Below are 19394 nucleotides of genomic sequence, written 5' to 3' on the forward strand. Positions count from 1 at the left end.
AATTTTAATTCAAGGTGAAATCTTCAAGGCAATCATATATAATTAAACAGAGCAAATAAAACATTCTAAATCCTTGAAGGGAAAGGGGAAAAGAAAGCACAATGTAAAAACCAAGTGAATCTAAACGCAACAATATATCATAATGCCTAAGTTCGTGGGACCAATTCCAATCCAGTCCAAGGAAGCAGAGACTGGCGAGCAACATTCCCTTTCAGGCCCCTGCAGGGTCAAGAGCATGCTCCTGGAATAGACTGAGAAACTAGGGCAGGCTAAGTGAGGTGCCAGGAATAAAGACACCGCCTGACTGACACATTCTCCACTCTCCCTACACCCGCTCCTCTCACCAGCGCTTCCATCAGGCTCCAATTCCTCCCTCTTCCCAAGAGCCTCAGATTGAAACCTTGCAAGGAAGACACCCATTCTCAAAGTCACAGGCTTGGTAATCTGAGCGGCAAAGGTGAATGATCTCGTGCTCCCCCTAATCCCCACTACTCCCCTCGCCACTGCTGCCTAGCACCAGCCCCTCCTCCATAATTTGAACTGTCCTCCCAGGACTTGGAGGCGGGTCGGCCCAAGCACTTCTTACTGGCCAACATGGAGCAAACCTCCCCTCTCTTGCACATCCATTGGCTAAAAGATCTGTCTACTTAAGTCTGACTGCCACCTTCCCTTCTTTCTGTGCTGCCTGGATAGGACTGTCAGCTGGTCGCGTTTCCCATTGGTCACCGTTTCCGGAAGCCCGCCCCCACGTTTCCGGGAGCCCGGCGGACGCTGGGTCTGCAGATGCCATCCAGGCGCACGGCGGGTATAGTGGTTCCGCAACCTTGGGATGTTCGGCTGAGCGCCTGCCTAACATGGGAGCGCCTGCCTAACCCTCCTGACTGGAGGGTCAGCGGCGGGGAGTCCTGGCCTTCAATCGGCCATCGCCACGGCAGAAACTGGGGCCCGGGCTGCGTCCAGGCCCTTCCCCGTCCGTCCACAGGTCTCATGGGCGCCCGGACTGGGGCTGATGTAGTTTCCCGACCTCTGACACATAGGATCTGGAGATTAAAGGTATAAAAACGGGGACTTTTCAGCCCACTCAAGTAAAACACCCTTTTATTTTTCGGCAGGTGTTTTGTTGCAGAATGCCCTGAGGGGAGGGAGTGACTGCTGGGTTTCGGTTTATAAAATAAAATAAACTCCTGATTTAGATTATGTTTAATATGGCTCCCCAACCTTTAAAAATCCCACTTTTTGCCAGTTGTATTATTTAGTGGGATGTTGAAGGGGGGGGCCTGCGCCTCCACACCTGTGGGCGTTTCTCCTCAGGTGGGATGAAAGACTGAGAAAAGAAAAAGACACAGAGACAAAGTATACAGAAAGAAAAGTGGGCCCAGGGGACCAGCGCTCAGCATATGGAGGACCTGCGCCAGCACTGGTCTCTGAGTTCCCTCAGTATTTATTGATCATTATTTTTACCATCTCAGAGAGGGGGATGTGGCAGGACAGTAGGGTAATAGTGGGGAGAGGGTCAGCAGGAAAACATGTGAACAAAGGTCTGTCATAAACAAGGTTAAGAAAAGGTGCTGTGCTTTGGTGTGCGCGTACGCAAACATCTCGGTGCATTAAAGAGCAGTATTGCTGCCAGCGTGTCTCACCTCCAGCCTTAAGGCAGTTTTCACCTATCTCAGTAAATAGAACATACAATCGGGTTTTACACGGAGACATTCCATTGCCCAGGGATGAGCAGGAGACAGATGCCTTCCTCTTACCTCAACTGCAAAGATGCCCTCCTCTTTCACTAATCCTCCTCAGCACAGACCCTTTATGGGTGTCCGGCTGGGGGATGGTCAGGTCTTTCCCTTTGCTCTGTTACCAGGCTGGAGTGCAGTGGCACAATCTCCACTCACTGCAATTTCTACCTCCCAGATTCAAGTGATTCTCTTACTTCAGCCTCCTGAGTAGCTGGGATTACAGGCGCGTGTCACCACGCCCAGCTAATTTTTGTATTTTTAGTAGAGATGGGGTTTCACCATGTTGGCCAGGATGATCTCGATCTCTTGACCTCATGATTTGCCCGCCTCGGCCTCCCAAAGTGGGTTTTGATTTTTTTTATAGTGGTAATGATTCTGTCTTCTTAACTCCTTTAAAATCTTAGTCAGTGGGCTGGGCGCTGTGGCTCATGCCTGTAATCCTAGCACTTTGGGAGGCCGAGGCGGGTGGATCACTTGAGGTCAGGTGTCTGAGACCAGCCTGGCCAAGATGGTGAAACCCCATCTCTACTAAAAATACAAAAATTAGCCGGGCGTGGTGGCGGGCACCTGTAATCCCAGCTACCCAGGAGGCTGAGGCACGAGAATCACTTGAACCTGGGAGGTGGAGGTTTCATTGAGCCGAGATTGTGCCACTGCACTCCAGCCTGGGCATAGAGCAAGACTCAGTCTAAAAATATATATATATATATATATATATATATATATATGTTGGTGGATCTCTTACTTTCACAGGATTTATTTCATAGTGTGAATGAGACACCTCCTATAGGCTCCAGGTTGCTAACTTCATGAGGTGTGAAGATTCGGTGCTTTATAAAACAGCCCCCACATTCTTCATAGGCCTGTCCTTAATTCTCAGCACCCCTCTGCTTCTGACATTGTACCTAAAATTAAGTTTTTTGTGGTTATATGAGAGCTCTGGAAATGCCCAGCATTAGCCACTAATGTTTCCGTTTGATATTTCCCCATATCTTAATAGTGACCCTCAATCCATTACTCAGATGGGTGTCCTTTTCTTGGATGTCTGGAAACTAATACCAGCTATCCCTGTGACCTCCCTGCTGAGCCACCATTTTGTCTTTTCTCTTTTCTTGTCTACAATTGTGTTCGTAACCCTCAGCTCTTTCATGAGCAGCCTTGATGCTTTCGACTGCTTCTAACTCTGAGTTTATTACCCGCAGTTTCCATGAGCCAAGTTTAGGGGCCTGTGAGACCGTCCCATGTAAATTTTCACATTCCTCTAACCAAAATGTAGTGTTTCCTTCCATCCAGAATGTAGGCCGTAGACCCCGTGGGTATGGGGCATTGTTAACAGTGAGACCACAGCAGTTTTTATGTCATCTGACAGCATCTCCAAATAGCCTTCATGGTTGTCACTGCTTCCCAATGACAATTCCAAATAACAGTTCCCAGTGATGACTTGCTACTTGATATTGTTACTTAATATGTTAAGGTGGCTGTTGTAGGCACTATTACTGTGTAAGAAATTACACCAAAATTTAGTGGCTCAACACAATCATTATGTTTGTGGATTCTCATGCTCATGGTCAAGATTTCAGACAGGGCACAAGAGTGGCCTGCTGTCTCTGTCCATGATGTCTGGCTTCAGCACGGAAGACTCAACAGCTGGGGGCTGGAACCATTTGGAGGCTTGTTCCCTTATATCTGATACCTGGCTTGGGATGTTGGAAGATGGGGCTCAGCTGGGACTGAGTGCCTACATGTAGTGTTTCCATGTGGCCTTGACTTCCTTACAGCCTGGCAGTCTCAGGGTAGTCAGAATTCTTAGGTGGCACAGGTTCCCAGGGCAGATGCTGAGTGGTCTTTTATGAGGTAACACAACAAATCCACCCAGGATCGGGGAGACAGGACATCGATTCTGCCTCTCAAAGGGAGGAGTGGCCATTTTTTAAAAATTGCCACAGCAACATGCCTATTAATATATCAGAAAAATTTGAAGTATCCTGATAGCTGCATTTCTTTTTTTTTTTTTTTTTTTAAACGGAGTCTCTCTCTGTCATCCAGGCTGGAGGAGTGCAGTAGCACGATCTCGGCTCATTGCAACCTCCGCCTCCCGGGTTCAAACGATTCTCCTGCCTCAGCCTCCTGAGTAGCTGGGACTATAGGCACACGTCACCATGCCCAGCTACTTTTGTATTTTTAGTAGAGACAGGGTTTCACTATGTTGGCCAGGATGGTCTCGATCTCTTGACCTCATGATCTGCCCACCTCAGCCTCCCAAAGTGCTGGGATTACAGGGGTGAGCCACCACTCCTGGCCAATAGCTGCATTTCTAAGTAATTAGTCTCCTTTGAAATTCTATGAATTTTATTTCCTGTAGTTTACAGCATTATTTTGAGAAGGGATCAAAGACTCTTCCATATATCAGAAGGATCCTGGACAGAACAAGCTCACTGCCAACCATTTCCCCCAATATATACATGTATATATGTATTTTTTTTTTTTTTTTTTTTGAGACACAGTCTCACTCTGTTGCCCAGGCTGGAGTGCAGTGGTGCAATCTTGGCTCACTGCAGCCTCCGCCTCATGGGTTTGAGCGATTCTCGTGCCTCAGTCTTCCAAGTAGCTGGGATTACAGTTGTGCACCACCACTCCTGGCTCATTTTTTCTATTTTTAGTAGAGACTGGTTTCATTGTGTTGGCAGGGCTAGTCTTGGACTCCTGGTCTCAGTGATCCGCCCGCCTTGGCCTCCCGTAGTGCTGGGATTATAGGCGGGAGCCACCATGCCCAGTCCATTTCCCCCAGTATTTGAAATGCACAGTTTCTGCTCTGGTTCATTGGTCAGGGCAGGACTTTCTCGTTTGCCTTAAACCTAACAGTAGTTTAGAAATTGGCCTGTAACTTTTTTTGGCATGATTTCCTTCTGTTTGTGCTGATATTTTTCTCACCTCAATAAGGATAGGAGCTTCTTTTCCTTTTTTTTTTTTTCCAGGTAGAATCATGTTTTCTTTTAATTGAATACTTAACTCACAATGTTTCCTGTTTTGCAGCTGCTCTGCTAATAATTAGGTTCCCACCTCTCAAGATCATTAGGAGCTTCTTTTCCAATTCCTCTGTTTTGCATGCATTGGAAGGTAAGTTTCCTTGTAAACCAGATTTTGGACTCTGCAGGCTTTGCCAAATGGCCTTTTTACCCTCATGTATATTGCATTTTCTTTGGATAGTCTCATGGATTCTCAAGGATATTGTATTCCTGTATTTTACCATTCATGAGTTTAGAAGTGTGTTTACTTTCCTGAGTTTTCATTTTCTTTTTCTTCTGTCATATGTAATTTACAGAGCAAATACCTACCAGAATGGATAACTTGAGAGATGTGGAAAGTGAGTTTCTTTGCGCTTATCTAGTGAGGGTGATTTTTAGTCAATAAGCATTTGGTATATGCCTGGGAATCCAACAGCTGCTATTTAGATTCAGAGCCAGCCTTTATTTATCAGCTTTCTGATGCTGAACCCATCAGTGAACTTCTCTGTATATTTGATTCATCATAAGGAAAATGGTGACGCCGAGGGTGACTGATTTCCAGGTTTACATCGGTTGCCCCAGGGGAAGTGCCTGGCCCCCATCTGGTCCTTGCTGCTCTAACTTTGCCCTGTTAATTGAAGAAATGCAGGTATAAACACTTCCTGGGTTGTTGCTGGCATTTATTGTCCTCACAGTTTACAGAGAAGCCCATATTTTCAGCCTCTTCCTCTGCTTTCTGTCATTTCTGAACCATCTCACCCGACCTGGTGTAATTTTCATTGTGTGTGAGTTTGCACAGATGTAATTTGGGCCTACATGTGTCCAAAGCCTAATGCCCACCTCCCACCTCCACTAGGATCTGGAGCTCAGGACCCACTACCTCCCCGGCCCACTGCAAGCTTGAACATTTGATGGTGGACACCCCTCCCTGACTTTGTATTATGGTGGGTTCTCTTGGGTCTTGTTCTCTGTGGGTCTGTCCTGCGCTATACTGTGTGGAGCCGGGGGGATTTTCCCTGTGTTCCCAAAAGAGGGTCACAAGGAGTTTTTGAGCAAAGAGGGGCTGATAGTTCTTAAGGGTATCCCACAGAAGGGAGAGGCCAGACATATTCAGGAAAATCTTGTTTTTTTATTCTTGTAGGTCCAGATTTTGGATGAATCTCTATAGAGATTGAACAGATAAGGCTCACCTTTCAATAGTTACACCAAGAAAGGCCTAGGTGGTGACTTAAGCTATGGTTTTGGGCAGCACGAGAGTGGTCAGGTGGACAGTAGGGAAGTCTACATGTAACCCAAACGGAAAAGAGAAAAGGCCCCTGAGAAATCAGGGCAAAGTCCCACAGTGTCTCTTTCCCCATAGTGTCACTGGTGTGGGGGTTACCTTCCCACTATGTCTCCCAGAAGACATGAGGGCACAGACTACAGTGCCTGTGGACAGAGGAGCTGTGGGGATGGAAGTGTGATTGCTTCATTCAAATGCACGCCCCGGTGCGTGTGCGTCTCTTCTGATGCAGCTCCCCATGGGTAAGCTCTGTGCTTCTCCACACAGTGGATCAGGAGTGGAAACATTCTGTCTGTTTAGCACTTGACGGTTTGGTGGTGACCTGATGTCATGGTGATAATAGAGGCAATGATCCTAACAGCTTAGAACTGTTCAGCTTGGCCGGGCCTGGTGGCTCACACCTGTAATCCCAGCACTTTGGGAGACTGAGGTGGGGGTATCACCTGAGGTCAGGAGTTTGAGACCAGGCTGGCCAACATGGCGAAACCCCGTCTCTACTAAAAATACAAAAATTAGCCGGGTATGGTGGCACACGCCTGTAATCCCAGCTACTTGGGAGGCTGAGGCAGGAGAATCGCTTGAACCCGGAAGGTGGAGGCTTCAGTGAGCTGAGATCTTGCCATTGCACTCCAGCCTGGGTGACGGAGCGAGACTCTGTCTCAAAAAAAAAAAAAAATTGTTCAGCTTGTGGGTAGGTATTTGGGAAACATTATATGTATTACCTAGTCTTAGTTATCTGCAGTGGTTTTGTTATTTTTTGCATAAACTGCTGAGAATGTTTAATAATTGTAGATGATAGATCACTAGTCACTCTAAAATCTTCCCATTTCTTGGTCTAGAGCTGGGGCTGGATCCCTCAGCAACGAGGAGACCTGAAAACTAGAGGAAAAAAAGCAGGTCCTCCCTATAAACCACTCATCTGTGCTCTCTTCCAATTTATTCTCCTTTTGTGTACATCATTTTAAGGGGCTATAATCATCTTGTTCAGACCTCAGGATATAAAATGACCCATCTGTAGACCTCCAGCCGTATCCCAAAGTTGTCTGTTTTGTTTTTTTTTGAAATTCCTGACAAGTTTCAGTTGTAGCTGTGCCCTGAGGAAACATTCCCGATTCCCGGAGTAGCTTCCAGGTTAAAGTCCTGTAGGCTTCTTCTGTTTTTAGAAATTCCTATCAGAGAAAGACCTGATTTTGGATTTTTAGCTTTAATGCTTGTGAAAAGCTATAAAAATAATTTTCTACGCCTAGCTTTGAAGTACTGTTAGTGAGAAATTAAAATTCCTTCAGGAGGATTAAACTGCCATTTCTGTTACCCTAATTACAAAAGTTTTGGTTGTTAGAATTTTCTTTACTGTTCATGAAGAAGTATTTTATATTTTCCTTCGACATTCATTCTCTTTAGCAGGTAATTTTGAACTTTAGTTTCTTAAATACCCAAATTTGGTTTTTCCTCAGTCTTCTCTCTGCTACAGATTTCTAACTTAACAGGAAAGGCAGTTTTCCTCAAAAAGGGCAAAGAACAGCGGGAACAGTAGAGGGCACCTTCAACCCCAGCATGGAATTGACGTTCCTGCTTCAAAATGAACCATCACAGCAATCTTGGCTTTTTGATTTGGACCCTCATTTCTCTTATAATTTGAACTTATATTGGAGAGAAGGGGCCTGTCTCTTAAGCCAGCTAGTTTTTGTACTGGATATTTATATATCATTTCATTTGTTCCTTAGTGTTTTTTCATTTCTATTATGATTTGTTCTGTGGGATGTGACTTACCGGTGTGTTTTTCACGTTTATAAAGCTGAATACTTCTGTATGTCAGCTTAGCACCCCTAGCATCAGCCATGCTACTCTCCTGCTGTGCATAGATGGGGGCCTGTCCCCCTGCTGAATCTCCTGGGTTCCTGCTGTCAACACCTGAAGGTACCCACCAGATGTGTCTGTCACTTCCCTCCATCCACCTCTCTTGTGTTTCTCATGTTTCTGCCTCCCTAGAGACCATTTCTCTCTAGAGCAGTGCTTTCCAATAGAAATACAATGCCAGACACATACGTCATTTTAGATTTTCTAGTAGTCACTTTAGAAAAGTTAAAAAGAGGCTGGGCATGGTAGCTCACACCTGTAATCCCAGCACTTTGGGAGGCTGAGGTGGGCAGATTAGCTGAGGTCAGGAGTTCGAGACCAGCCTGGCCAACATGGTGAAACCCCGTCACTACTAAAAATACAAAAATTAGCCGGGTATGGTAGCAGGTGCCTGGGATTACAGCCTCCCGAGTAGGCTGAGACATGAGAATCACTTGATTCTGGGAGGTGGAGGCTGCAGTGAGCCGAGGTCATGTGCACCACTGCAATCCAACCTTGGCAACAGAGCAAGACTTTGTCTCACACAAAAAAAAGAAAAGAAAGAAAAGTTAAAAGGGAGCAGGTGAAATTAATAATGTGTTTTATTTCACCTAAAATGTTAGTATTATCCAGAATATCACTTCAACGTCTTATCAAAATAAAAATTATTAATGAGATAGTTTGCATTCTTCCTCTTTTTTGAGATGGGCTCTTGCTTTTTTTTTGGCCCAGGCTGGAATGCAGTGGCACCAGCATAGCTCACTGCAGCCTCAAACTCCTGGGCTCGAGATCCTCCTGCCTCAGCCTTCCTAGTAGTTAGGACTACAGGCACACACCACCATGCCCAGCTAATTGTTTTTCTTTTTTGTTTGTTTGTTTTTCTTTTTTTTCTTTTTTCTTTTTTTTTTTTTTTTGAGAGGAAATCTCACTCTGTCACCCAGGGTGGAGTGCAATGGCATGATCTCAGCTCATTGCAACCTCCGCCTCCCAGGTTTAAGTGATTTTCCTGTCTCAGCCTCCCAAGTAGCTGGGACTACAGGCGTGCACCACCATGCCTAGCTAATTTTTTTGTATTTTTAGTAGAGACAGGGTTTCACTATGTTGGCCAGGCTGGTCTTGAACTCCTGACCTCAGCTGATCCACCCACCTCGGCCTCCCAAAGTGCTGGGATTACAGGTGTGAGCCACTGCGCCAAGCCTTTTTTTTTTGAGATAGGGTGATAGGGTCTCACTCTGTCACCCAGGCTGCAGTGGTATGATCTTGGCTCACTGCAACCTCTGCCTTCCAGGTTCCAGTGATTTTTCCCACCTCAGCTTCCCTATTAGCTGGGACTACAGGTACACGCCACCACACCTGGCCAATTTTTTGTATTTTTTGTATACATAGGGTTTCACCATGTTGGCCAGGCTGGTCTCGAACTCCTGACGTCAAGTGATCCATCTGGCTTGGCCTCCCAAAGTGCTGGGATTACAGGCGCGAGTCACCGCACTTGGCCTTAGCAATCTTTCAAGTGCTCAGCAGCCACATGTGGCAGTGGCTGCCTTATTGGACAGCGCAGCTCTGAACGGTGATTTTATGTACATCCCCACTGCTCTCTCTGCCTCCTTTATTCCCATCTACCCCACACCCCTGATGTCTATTGGAGGGAGTCTACTGGGAGTGTGGAGGCTTTCCTGTCCCTAGCATGGATGACATCAGCAGGTGGTGATGAAAGTGATTAAACAGCATTCTCATCACAAAAAAAAGTCAAGTATTTGAGGTAATGGGTTGGTTAATTTGATTTCATCATTCCACATCGTAATGAAAAGTCATACCATCATTTTATACCCCATAAATATATATAATTTAGAAGATAGATAAAAATCAGCCAAAACAATTCTTTGAAATATTTTTAAGCAAACATGTACAATTTATGGGGTACAATATCATTTGTTAGTATATATAATTTTTTTTTATGGGGAGTCAGTTAACACAGGAAACAGCCCCTTGAAAGGGAGATACCCCCACACCCCTGGAGTAGCCCCTGGAGGACTATCGCCTCCCTCTCTCCTCTCTTTCTGTCTCATATTCCTTTAATTTGGAGAATCATTTCCAATTCCTTAACATTCTGGCCTGATTTTTTTCTGTCTTACATTCAAAGGTCACAGTTTTCCTCTCACCCTCATTTCAGTCTTTTCCCATAAGATGTGACATGCCTTTTTGTCTTGGTTGGGCATTTATTTGCAATACAAGAATGATTGTTTTCTTTGATACATTAATGACTTAGATACTTTTCCTAGTAAAATGTATCTTAACAGAATTCCAAATTAATTCTAGACAGCATATTTTTAAAGGTGTGTATAGAGCTCCTTATGTTTCTTCCTTGATTTTTAAAATGACATATTTAGGTCTATATATTTTAGGATATAAGATCTCTATGTGTTGCTTTGCTTCATTGAACATTTTTGGTGATTATTTTTATTTTCTGTGTATTTTAGGATTTCCATTAAACTATATTCTCATTTCAAATTTCTATCTGAGTGATAGAATTATTTTAATGTAGGAAAGGTTCATCAAAAATGGGTGTAGTGATTGTGTTCTTTCCTATGCTCGAATGGAAAATGATGAGGGGACATGATGTTAGAGTTGCAGTGAGAAGGGGTGGAAAAGAGGGATTCCAGAGTGCCAGGCACACAGGTTTTCTGGAAGGTTTACATGAGGACTGCTGTGGTTTGAATGTGTTCCCCGAAGTTCATGTGTTGGAAACTCAACCCCTAATGCAACAGTGTTGACCAGTGGAACCTTTAAGAGGTGATTAGGTCATGAAGGCTCTGCCCTCATGAATGGATGAAGCTAGAGTGGGTTAGTTATCTTGGGAGGGGGTTCCTGATAAAAGGATGAGGTTGGCTTCCTTCCCTTTCTCTTTCCCCCTCCCCCCTTCACATGTGGTCACTCTCTTGCCCTTCCACCTTCCACCATAGGACGGCACAGTGAGACCTTCACCAGATGCAGGCCCCTCACTTTCCCAGTGTTCAGAACCGTAAACCAAGTGAACTCTTGCTTATAAATCACCCAGTCTGTGGTATTCTGTTATAGCAACACAAACGGACTAAGAGAGGGACACTCAGTGGGCTCTTCTCTCTACTTGATGGAGCACTCCCTGCGTGGTGCCTTGTATTTGTAGACATGATGCTGTAAATGTTTTTTGAATGTCTTGAAGGCTTTTGTTTGAGGAGTTTACAGAGAAGCCCCTACAGGCTTCAGGTCCCTTCTTCTGTTGCTTCTTTGCTCCTTAGTTCCTCCCCTAACCTGGTGCTAAATTAGATCATAGTGTGGTCCTTGGACCAACAGTATCAATAGCACCTGAAAGTCATGCTGGAAATACAGATTCACAGGCTGCTCCCCAGAATACTGAAGAAGAAACTCTAGGAGTGAGACCCAACAATCTGTGTTTAACAAGTCCCCAGGTGAGTCTGATGCACACAGAAATGTGAGCTGCTGTATTAGATGGTGTTGAGTTCATGCCACCGGATCACTGACACACACGTCTGCTCACTGCTTGCTCTTTGCACAGGCCCCTGGATCCTCCTGGAATCCCTGATCCCTGTTGCTCCCTGGCGGAGTTTTCTAGTCCCTCTTACTTGAAGCATGTCTTTCAGAGCCCGGCACCACCCAAGTTGGGTATCTGGTGAATTCTGTGGTCTGCATGTCCATGTTTGTGACATTCTGGGAAGGGTGGCCCAGGCTGTGATTTGCCATCTACTGCAGGCTATGGATGGTATTCAGAAGGGAGGGGAGATGCTGTGTGCGTGTTCTGAAGGGTTTCCCACTAAACAGACCAACCCTCTCCATAACTATTTGATTTTTACTTTATCTCCTCGTTGACTTCACAGTGTCAGTGCAGTTTGTGTAAACATCTCTACGGGGTGATGCATGCAGATAAATGTTTATGTGAACATATAAAGTCTGCATGTGTGGGTGAACACTCCACATCAGGTCATTGTCCATCATTACATATCTGTGGTGTCTGGCTCATTCCTCTCATTTTCTGTCATTTTACCTACTTTTACCTGAAGTACAATGACTATTTAATAACTATTAAATGTTTCATTTCAGCTACACCTCTATGGTATTTTTTTCACCTCATATCATACCTTCCTCCCTCACTGGACTTCAGTGTGGGACCTGCAGGTCTCAGGCCTTCTGGGAAGTCCCAGCTTTTCTTGAATGTTCTCTCTCTCTGGCCAGCTCAGGCTGGAGCAGTGGGTGTTGGTGCCATCCTGTGGCTATAGGTGATAAGCCGGCTGTTCTTCACTGACCTGGTCTTACCTTGAACCCTGGAGTTCTCACATGCATGGATTTAAATGCTGTGTCTTTCTAAGGGCACATTATGGCCATTTTCCTTATCTCCCTCCCAAGGGGCTGTTTCCTGTATTTATTGACTCCCTGTTTAAAAAAAATATATGTATATATAGACAAATTGGATTGTACCCCATAAACTGCATGTTTTAAAAATACTTCAAAGAATAGTTTTTCATTTTTTTCTTGCTGGTTTTTATGTATCTTCTAAATTGTATATATTTATGGGGTATAAAATGATGTTGTGATTTTTCAATACAGTGTGGAATGAGAATCAAATTAACCTATCCGTTACCTCAAGTACTTGACTTTTTTTGTGATGAGAAGGCTGTTTATCACTTTCACTCACCAGCTCCTGCTGTCTTCCATGCTGGGGACAGGAAAGGCTCCACGCTTGACTTTCCCTCCTGTTTTCTTATCTGCTGTCAACCCCTGAATGTACCCTCCAGGATTGACTTCTAGACCTTCTACATCTAGCTCGATCGTTGTGCACCCACCTTCCTCCCAGGGACTGTCCTTAGGGAGTGACTTTATGCACAAACTTCACATGCTCTTCCTGCCTCCTTCATCCCCAGAAGCCCCCATCTCAGCCCCATCTGATTATTTCCTCCCTCTCTCATTTCCTGTTATGCTGTTGGTTTTCTAACCTGAAGGGTAACTTCTTACTCCTTAGTTTTTTGCCTTAATTTCTAAGTCATAGGCTACTTTCAGGCTAAAAGTTTTCCTCCAGCCATGGTTTTAGTCTCATTCTATAAGTCTTGCTAGGTAGTTTATTCATTGGAAATTTTTTGTTTTTGAGACAGAGTCTCGCTCTATCACCCAGGCTGTAGTACAGTGGTGCCATCTCAGCTCACTGCAACCTCCGGTTCCCGGGCTCAAGCAGTTCTCTTTCCTCAGCCTCCTGAGTAGCTGGGATTATGGGTGCCTGCCACCACACCCAGCTAATTTTTGTATTTTTAGCAGAGACGGCATTTCACCATGTCAGCCAGGTTGGTCTCGAACTCTTGACCTCAAGTGATCCGCCCGCCTTGGCCTCCCAAAATACTGGGATTACAGGGGTGAGTCACCGCACCCCACCCCTTGGCACTATATTTAAGTGATGATATTTTTGGACACTGAGGTAGCCTCATTCCACAGGTTTAGATCTGAAGCATTTTCACTATTGCTTCTTTCCATGTATTTCCTGGTTTGCAGGTCAGTTTCTTCTTTTAATTCATCATTGACACAGTGGTTTATATGGCTTTTAATTTCAAAAGATTTTTTAAAATATCTTTTTGCCGATTTTTATCTATGTTAATTTTAACTAGACATGTTCCCTGGAAGGACATCACTAGTTTTTTTTTTTTTTTTCCCTCTGTTTATAATTTAGGTGGATTTTCACATCTCAAGCCAGCTAAGAGTATGGGAAATAGGACTCGTTAAAGCACAGGTATCACACAAGTGATTCAGATTCACGAGGGTAATCCAGATGAAGGTATATCATTGTACCTGGCCCGCATCACTCAATAACTGTCACCTTTGATTTATTGATTTACTTGAGATGGAGTTTGGTTCTGTCCCCGAGGCCGGAGTGCAATGGCGTGATCTCTGCTCACTACAACCTCTGCCTCCCAGGTTCAGAGTGATTCTCCTGCCTCAGCCTCTTTAGCTGGGATTACAGGCACCCACCAACATGCCCAGCTAATTTTTGTATTTTTAGTAGAGAGGAGCTTTCACCATAATGGCCAGGCTGGTCTTGAACCTCAAATGATCTGCCCACCTTGGCCTCCCAAAGTGCTAGGATTACAGGCTGGAGCTACGGAGCCCAGCCTGTCACCTTGATTTAAATGAATGCAGCTTTCTTGGTGTCTTGATGTTTGTGAATTTCTGTGGAGTTTGATACTGCTCCTTTTGCTGCTTGTTTTTCCAGAGTCCCCTTATCACTTGACGTGCTGTTATATTATGTTTGATTTATTACAGATACCCCATCAGCCTGAGTCTCTTAAAGGCCTTTATACACATATGTCTACACATAGGGATTTGGATGATCTCGGGATCCCACATCCTCGCTGTCCCCTGTCCCCCCACAACATCCCACACCAATACCTTTCTGAAGTTTTCTAGTCCCTCCTTTTTGTTTGTGGTCCTTAAAGCCCAGCCCCATGCCTGACTTTGGTTCCCAGTGAGCATTGTACATTTGTGGATATTAAATCTTTGGCAAAGTCATTTACCTGGGCTGGAATAGGGCTCTTGGCTGATTCTTTTTCCTAAACACCCACCCAATGGGAGAGGCTGATACTCAACATGCAAACCTTGTGTTTTATTTCTCCAGGCGAAGGGATGTTGGAAGACATTCTGGAAGGGGTGGGGTGTGAAGATTTACAAATAATCTTTGAATATCTGCTTCATGATAGGTCTTGGAGGTGCCTTGTGGGTGTGGCTTTGGGGGGATGGTTACGAGGAAATTGTGGATATTAAGGAAGTCAGGAAAGGAAAAGATCAGTCACAATTCAACAATTCAGAGAAAGCTCCTAAGGGACTTTCTGGCTGCTTGATGCCCAGAGGCCAGGCCCTCACTTCGTATTAAGGCTCAGGACTGTGGATAGAGAATTTAAAGGGGCACCAAAAAAACATTAAAATAGATAAACATATTTTTAATGGAATACCTTTAAAAATGCAAATCAATGCACAAAGAAAACGCCCATGTTGAACAAAATGGTGACAATTGTGCCTTCTCTTCAACACCACCCCACCCTCCAGAAGTTTCCTTCAAGCCGTACCTGTAAGAGTAAAAATAGAGAAAAATAAAAACCTTTAAGTTAAAAGATAAAAATGAGCTGGGTGTGGGGGCTCATGCCTGTAATCCCAGCACTTTGGGAGGCCGAGGCAGGTGGATCACTTGAGGTCAGGAGTTCGAGACCAGGCTGGGCAATGTGGTGAAACATCGTCTCTACTAAAAATACAAAAAAACAAAAAAAATTTAGGTGGGCACAGTGGCAGGTGCCTATAATCTCAGCTACTTGGGAGGCTGAGGCAGGAGAATCGCTTGAACCTGGGAGGCGGAGGTTGCAATGAGCCAAGAGCATGCCATTGCACTACATCCTGGGAGACAGATCAAGACTCTGTCTCAAAAAAAACAAAACAAACAAACACCTCGGGAATTTCTGGCTCAAGCCTCTGATCCTCACCACCACTATCACCAGGGGATCTTTTGCTGTTCACCCAAGTCCAGCCTTCATCCCCTAAACTCCTGGGGAAATGCGACCAGACTCTCCCCATCTCCATTCCGGGAGTTTGCCTCAAGCCAATCTTGTTCTCCCTGAAAACGGCCTTGGGGTTCCCCATCCTGGTACACCCTCCTACTCTAGGGGACACAGGGCCGATGTTGCCCCCAAACCGGCAGTCCCAGGAGCGCATCGCTTCTCCCTGAACTGCTTCTGCCCCAACCTGGCATCTGCTTGGGGAAGGGCACCCCAGGGTGGAGACTTGCATGGTGAGCTCAGCTCACCTTCAGGTGAAGGTCAGCGCACACTGGCCACCCGGGACCACATTTTCCAGAATCCTTTGGCGGTCCCGCGATGCTCTCGTGGTCAGCAGCTCTCATTGGGTTGCAGAGGAGAAACTTGTCCGTGTCACTGGGGCATCTTAACAGTCGGCTCCTAAGCTTGGTTGTGTGCGCTGTGCAGATGTGAGAGGCACACCGTGTGGGCGAACCCAACTGCTTGCCTGCCTCTCTAGCTCCAAAACTACAATCCCCAGAGGCCTCTGCGGTCACTTCCACTACCCACCCTACACACCTTCTGTGTGTCGCGTTAATGTCAGAAGCACTTCTGTTTGGTGGCCCCGGCTGGTTAGGCTGGTTGGCACCCAGGGAGGCACCCAGGTCTTCCCCACACCTCTGCACCTCATTACCTGACCGGCTTCTGGATCCGCAGCGTGCATCTGCAGTCTGTGAGTCCCCTATAGGCACTCAGTATGCCCCTCTGCGTGTCCCTCTGTTACTCATGGGGACACAGTCTGGGAGCCGTAGACCTGTCTCAGAACTAGGGCGCCCTCCTGTGGGCACCTCCAGGCCATTTTCCTTTCACTGGAGCCCACCGGGTTAGAGACAGACCCTCACTCTGTTGCTTGGGGACAAAGGCTTCACTCCCTGGCCCGAGCTTGGGGCTGAGCTAGAGGGTTCGGGGTCATCCTGGGCCCCTCTGGATGGGAATTGGCTGCCCTGTTAATTTCTGTGACATCCCCGACCCTAACAGTGGGTCTCTGGAGCAGACTGCGCTTCACCCCATGGGAAGGGGGTTTCCACCTGAGAGTCAAAAAAGAGGTGAGAATTCTCTGTAATTCCATCTTGACTGTCAACAGGATGGATTCTGTTACCATTTCTTGCCCTGGAGGCTGCCTTGTTGGTATTGGGGAAAGTTCATTCCTAGTCCTGGAAAAGTGGCTCATTCCAACTGGAGTCCTCCCTCAGCATTCCTTTCTGCTGCATCCATCCTGCAGTCATTCATGTTGTTAATTGTAAACAAACACACATGGAACAGTTTAAATAAAACTACACAGATGTGTGTGCTTAATTGTTCAGTGATGTGGATGAAGGGCAGGGACAGCAGAGATGCCTGTGATTTCAAGGGCTTGGGGAGGACTCGTACAAGTAGAGCTGTCTCAGCTGCCCCTGACCGGTTTGGTACCTTGGAGATTCGGGGGAAGGCATTGCACTCGGAGGCAGAAGGAAGCATAGTCTGAGGCTGGGCTCTTGCTACAGGGTAGGAAGGATTATGGTGGCCAAGAGCCTTCTTAAGGTTGATTTTTAAATATGCATAGGTGAAGATACAGACTAGCTGTTCACACATAGAATAAGGAGAAGCTTTATAGAGTGTGACCTAAATTTTACATCACAGAACACTTTCACCTTCCGGCAGTTGGGACATTTCACCCAAAATTTGAAATTCCCTCCTACTCTGAAAATGAATCTGGCCTAACTCTGCACTGATGAATTTTTTTTTTTTTTTTGAGACAGTTTTGTGCTTGTTACCCAGGCTAGAGTGCAGTGGTGCAATCTACACTCACCGCAACCTCTGCCACACGGGTTCAACCGATTCTCCTGCCTCAGCCTCCCAAATAGCTGGGATTTACAGGCATATGCCACCACACCGCGCTAACTGTCTGGTACTTTTTTTTAGTAGACGCGGAGTTTCATCATGTTGGTTAGGCTGGTGTGATCCCCTGACCTCAAGTGATCCATCCGCCTCAGCCTCCCAAATTGCTGGGATTAAAGATGTGAGACACCTCACTTTGCCAGTATGCATTGTTCTTAGTGTCAGCCGCTGAAACTGCTACTTCTGCGTTACGCGACTACGAGCCACCGGTGAGAGAGCAGCCCACGGGCACACAGGCGGACCTGTGCTCGTCATCACAAGGGCTCCACTTTTGGGGAGACTCACCCGCACACCGTCCGCGCACGCCTGAGGCTGGGATCCCGCGCTGCCTCGCCGGCGATCTGTCTGAGGTTTCTTCCTCCTGGGGTTTCTTCCTGCTGGTGGACCCTCCGCGAATCCCGGCCTCCGGAGACCGTCCTGGTAACTACCCTGGCCAGGACTGGTCTCAGCCCAGACTCAGACGCACGATCACACAGGGCTGCTACTTCGCCAAGTGTCAGGGACCCATCCCCGGGCAACGGTGGCTTTCACTGTGGCCCAAGCGGCGGCTCGGGCCTCGCGCATGCGCACTGGCGAGGCCGACTCCCCCGCTCCACCCCCCCTTACTCCGCAGAGTCAGGCTGCGGACCCTTTAAAAAATGGCGGCGACGCGGCGGCTGCGGGGCCTGGGGCGGCGGTGCTGGAGGTTGCGTCGGCGGCGGCGGCGGCACAGCCAGAGGCGGCGGGTGGGAAGAGGACTGCCAGAGGGGCCTGCGGGAGACCCAGGGTCGGACCCATAGGAGTCCTGTGGTGAGGACCTCCTTGATCGCTCTTCTGCTTCGGTTCCCGCTGAAGGAGGAGTTTCGGGATGCCGGCTGGGCTGCGCGGACTCCTCTTGGGGTCCGATGATGGATCCAACCGGGTGATCGGGAATGGGGTTCCAATGCAGTGAGGCCGAAAGGGTCTCGCCGGGGCACAGAAAGATCCCCAGGGCCGCAAGGCGTGCTGTCGGCTGCAAAGGCACCGACCCATGAGCCCACTGCCTCCCTCCCTCCTGGCAGGAGCAGGGGCCTGCCTTCATCTCCAAGGCCCGAGGGCTCCGGCATCCCGACGCGGCTTCCGGCGACACGGGCAAAGAGAGACAGAGGCGAGTCCGAGCTGGAGCCAGCGTGTCCACATGTGGCACTGTCGTCCCCCAAGAGCACATGCAGGCAGCCTGTGTCTTTGAGGCTGTAGGGGGCGACGACAAGACGGACAGTGATGTCCAGGCGTGCGCCCGGGGGGCCACTGGAGACCGGCCCCACAAAGCGAGGAAAAGCCAAGCGCACCTGAAAACCTGCGAGACAGGGCCTGTGCGCGAGTCCACGCCACGTTCAGGGAGGCCCGCCAGAGGAGCCGAGAGGTTTGGACAAAGTACACCCCACCCCCAGCCCGCCGCCGGCTAGGTACCCCTGACGCAACCTCCCCTGCACCCAGCCAAAACCCAGTCCCGTTGGCTCCCTGACATCCGTGGCAGCCAAAAGATTCGGTGCTAGAAGGCACTTTCCCCAGGAGCGGAGGAACCGGTTGGCCCTCAAGAATCAGAGAGGAAGTGCAGGTGGGATGCAACACCGCCTTTCCTAGAAGGCCAATGTCAGGAGCGGTGGGCTTGCCTCCGCCTCTTCCTGGACCGAGCGTGCAGCCATCACTTGGGCCATGGAGACCGAGAGAGCTTCCCTGTCCCACACAGGTATGGAAGCCCAGAGCTCCAGGATCACCACAGCTGCCCAATCATCCAGAAAGAGGTGTGGAGAGGGAAACAATCATGACGCGGACCGCCACGAGGTTTCTCCCTGATGGACGGGGAAGTCTTCTTTGTGGAAGACACTGAGCCACGCTAAGAAGCCGCCAGGCTTCTCAGAGACGGGGCAGACACAGCAAGAGGGAGGTCAGAGCAGAGGCCAGAGCCCAGGCAGGATACGGGGGGGCCATGCCACCACCACCGGCATCCGGGGAGGAGTGTCAAACGGGTGACTCGGCCAGGAAGGCCAGCCTTTGAGAGACAGACATGCTTGCCCCATCCCCTTGCCGGCTTCCTTCTCCG

General features: G+C 47.6%; 2 long non-coding RNA genes across 4 annotated transcripts; one reads left to right on the forward strand and one right to left on the reverse strand.

Annotated features, from left to right (window-relative positions):
- The first annotated feature begins 755 nt into the window (after positions 1 to 755).
- Positions 756 to 14406, forward strand: LINC01535 (long intergenic non-protein coding RNA 1535). Of its 3 annotated transcripts, NR_110718.1 has the most exons (8): positions 756 to 1053; positions 4770 to 4853; positions 5270 to 5390; positions 5598 to 5685; positions 5883 to 6265; positions 7819 to 7940; positions 11413 to 11526; positions 11955 to 12484. It is a non-coding gene; the product is annotated as a long intergenic non-protein coding RNA 1535 (long non-coding RNA). The 3 variants fall into 3 exon arrangements; NR_110720.2 differs by lacking the exons at positions 5270 to 5390; positions 5883 to 6265; positions 7819 to 7940; positions 11955 to 12484 and adding exons at positions 11226 to 11305; positions 14157 to 14406 and having other exon boundaries at positions 782 to 1053; NR_110719.1 differs by lacking the exons at positions 5270 to 5390; positions 5598 to 5685; positions 5883 to 6265; ... (1 more) ...; positions 11413 to 11526; positions 11955 to 12484 and adding an exon at positions 14157 to 14406.
- A 403-nt stretch (positions 14407 to 14809) lies between these two features.
- On the reverse strand, positions 14810 to 17881 carry LOC284412 (Putative uncharacterized protein PP6455). The gene is made up of 2 exons (NR_029390.2): positions 15685 to 17881; positions 14810 to 14956 (listed from the first exon to the last, which is right to left on the reverse strand). It is a non-coding gene; the product is annotated as a Putative uncharacterized protein PP6455 (long non-coding RNA).
- Between the last annotated feature and the right edge of the window lie 1513 nt (positions 17882 to 19394).

This window comes from Homo sapiens, chromosome 19 (assembly GCF_000001405.40).
Source record: "Homo sapiens chromosome 19, GRCh38.p14 Primary Assembly".
Taxonomy (NCBI): domain Eukaryota; kingdom Metazoa; phylum Chordata; class Mammalia; order Primates; family Hominidae; genus Homo; species Homo sapiens.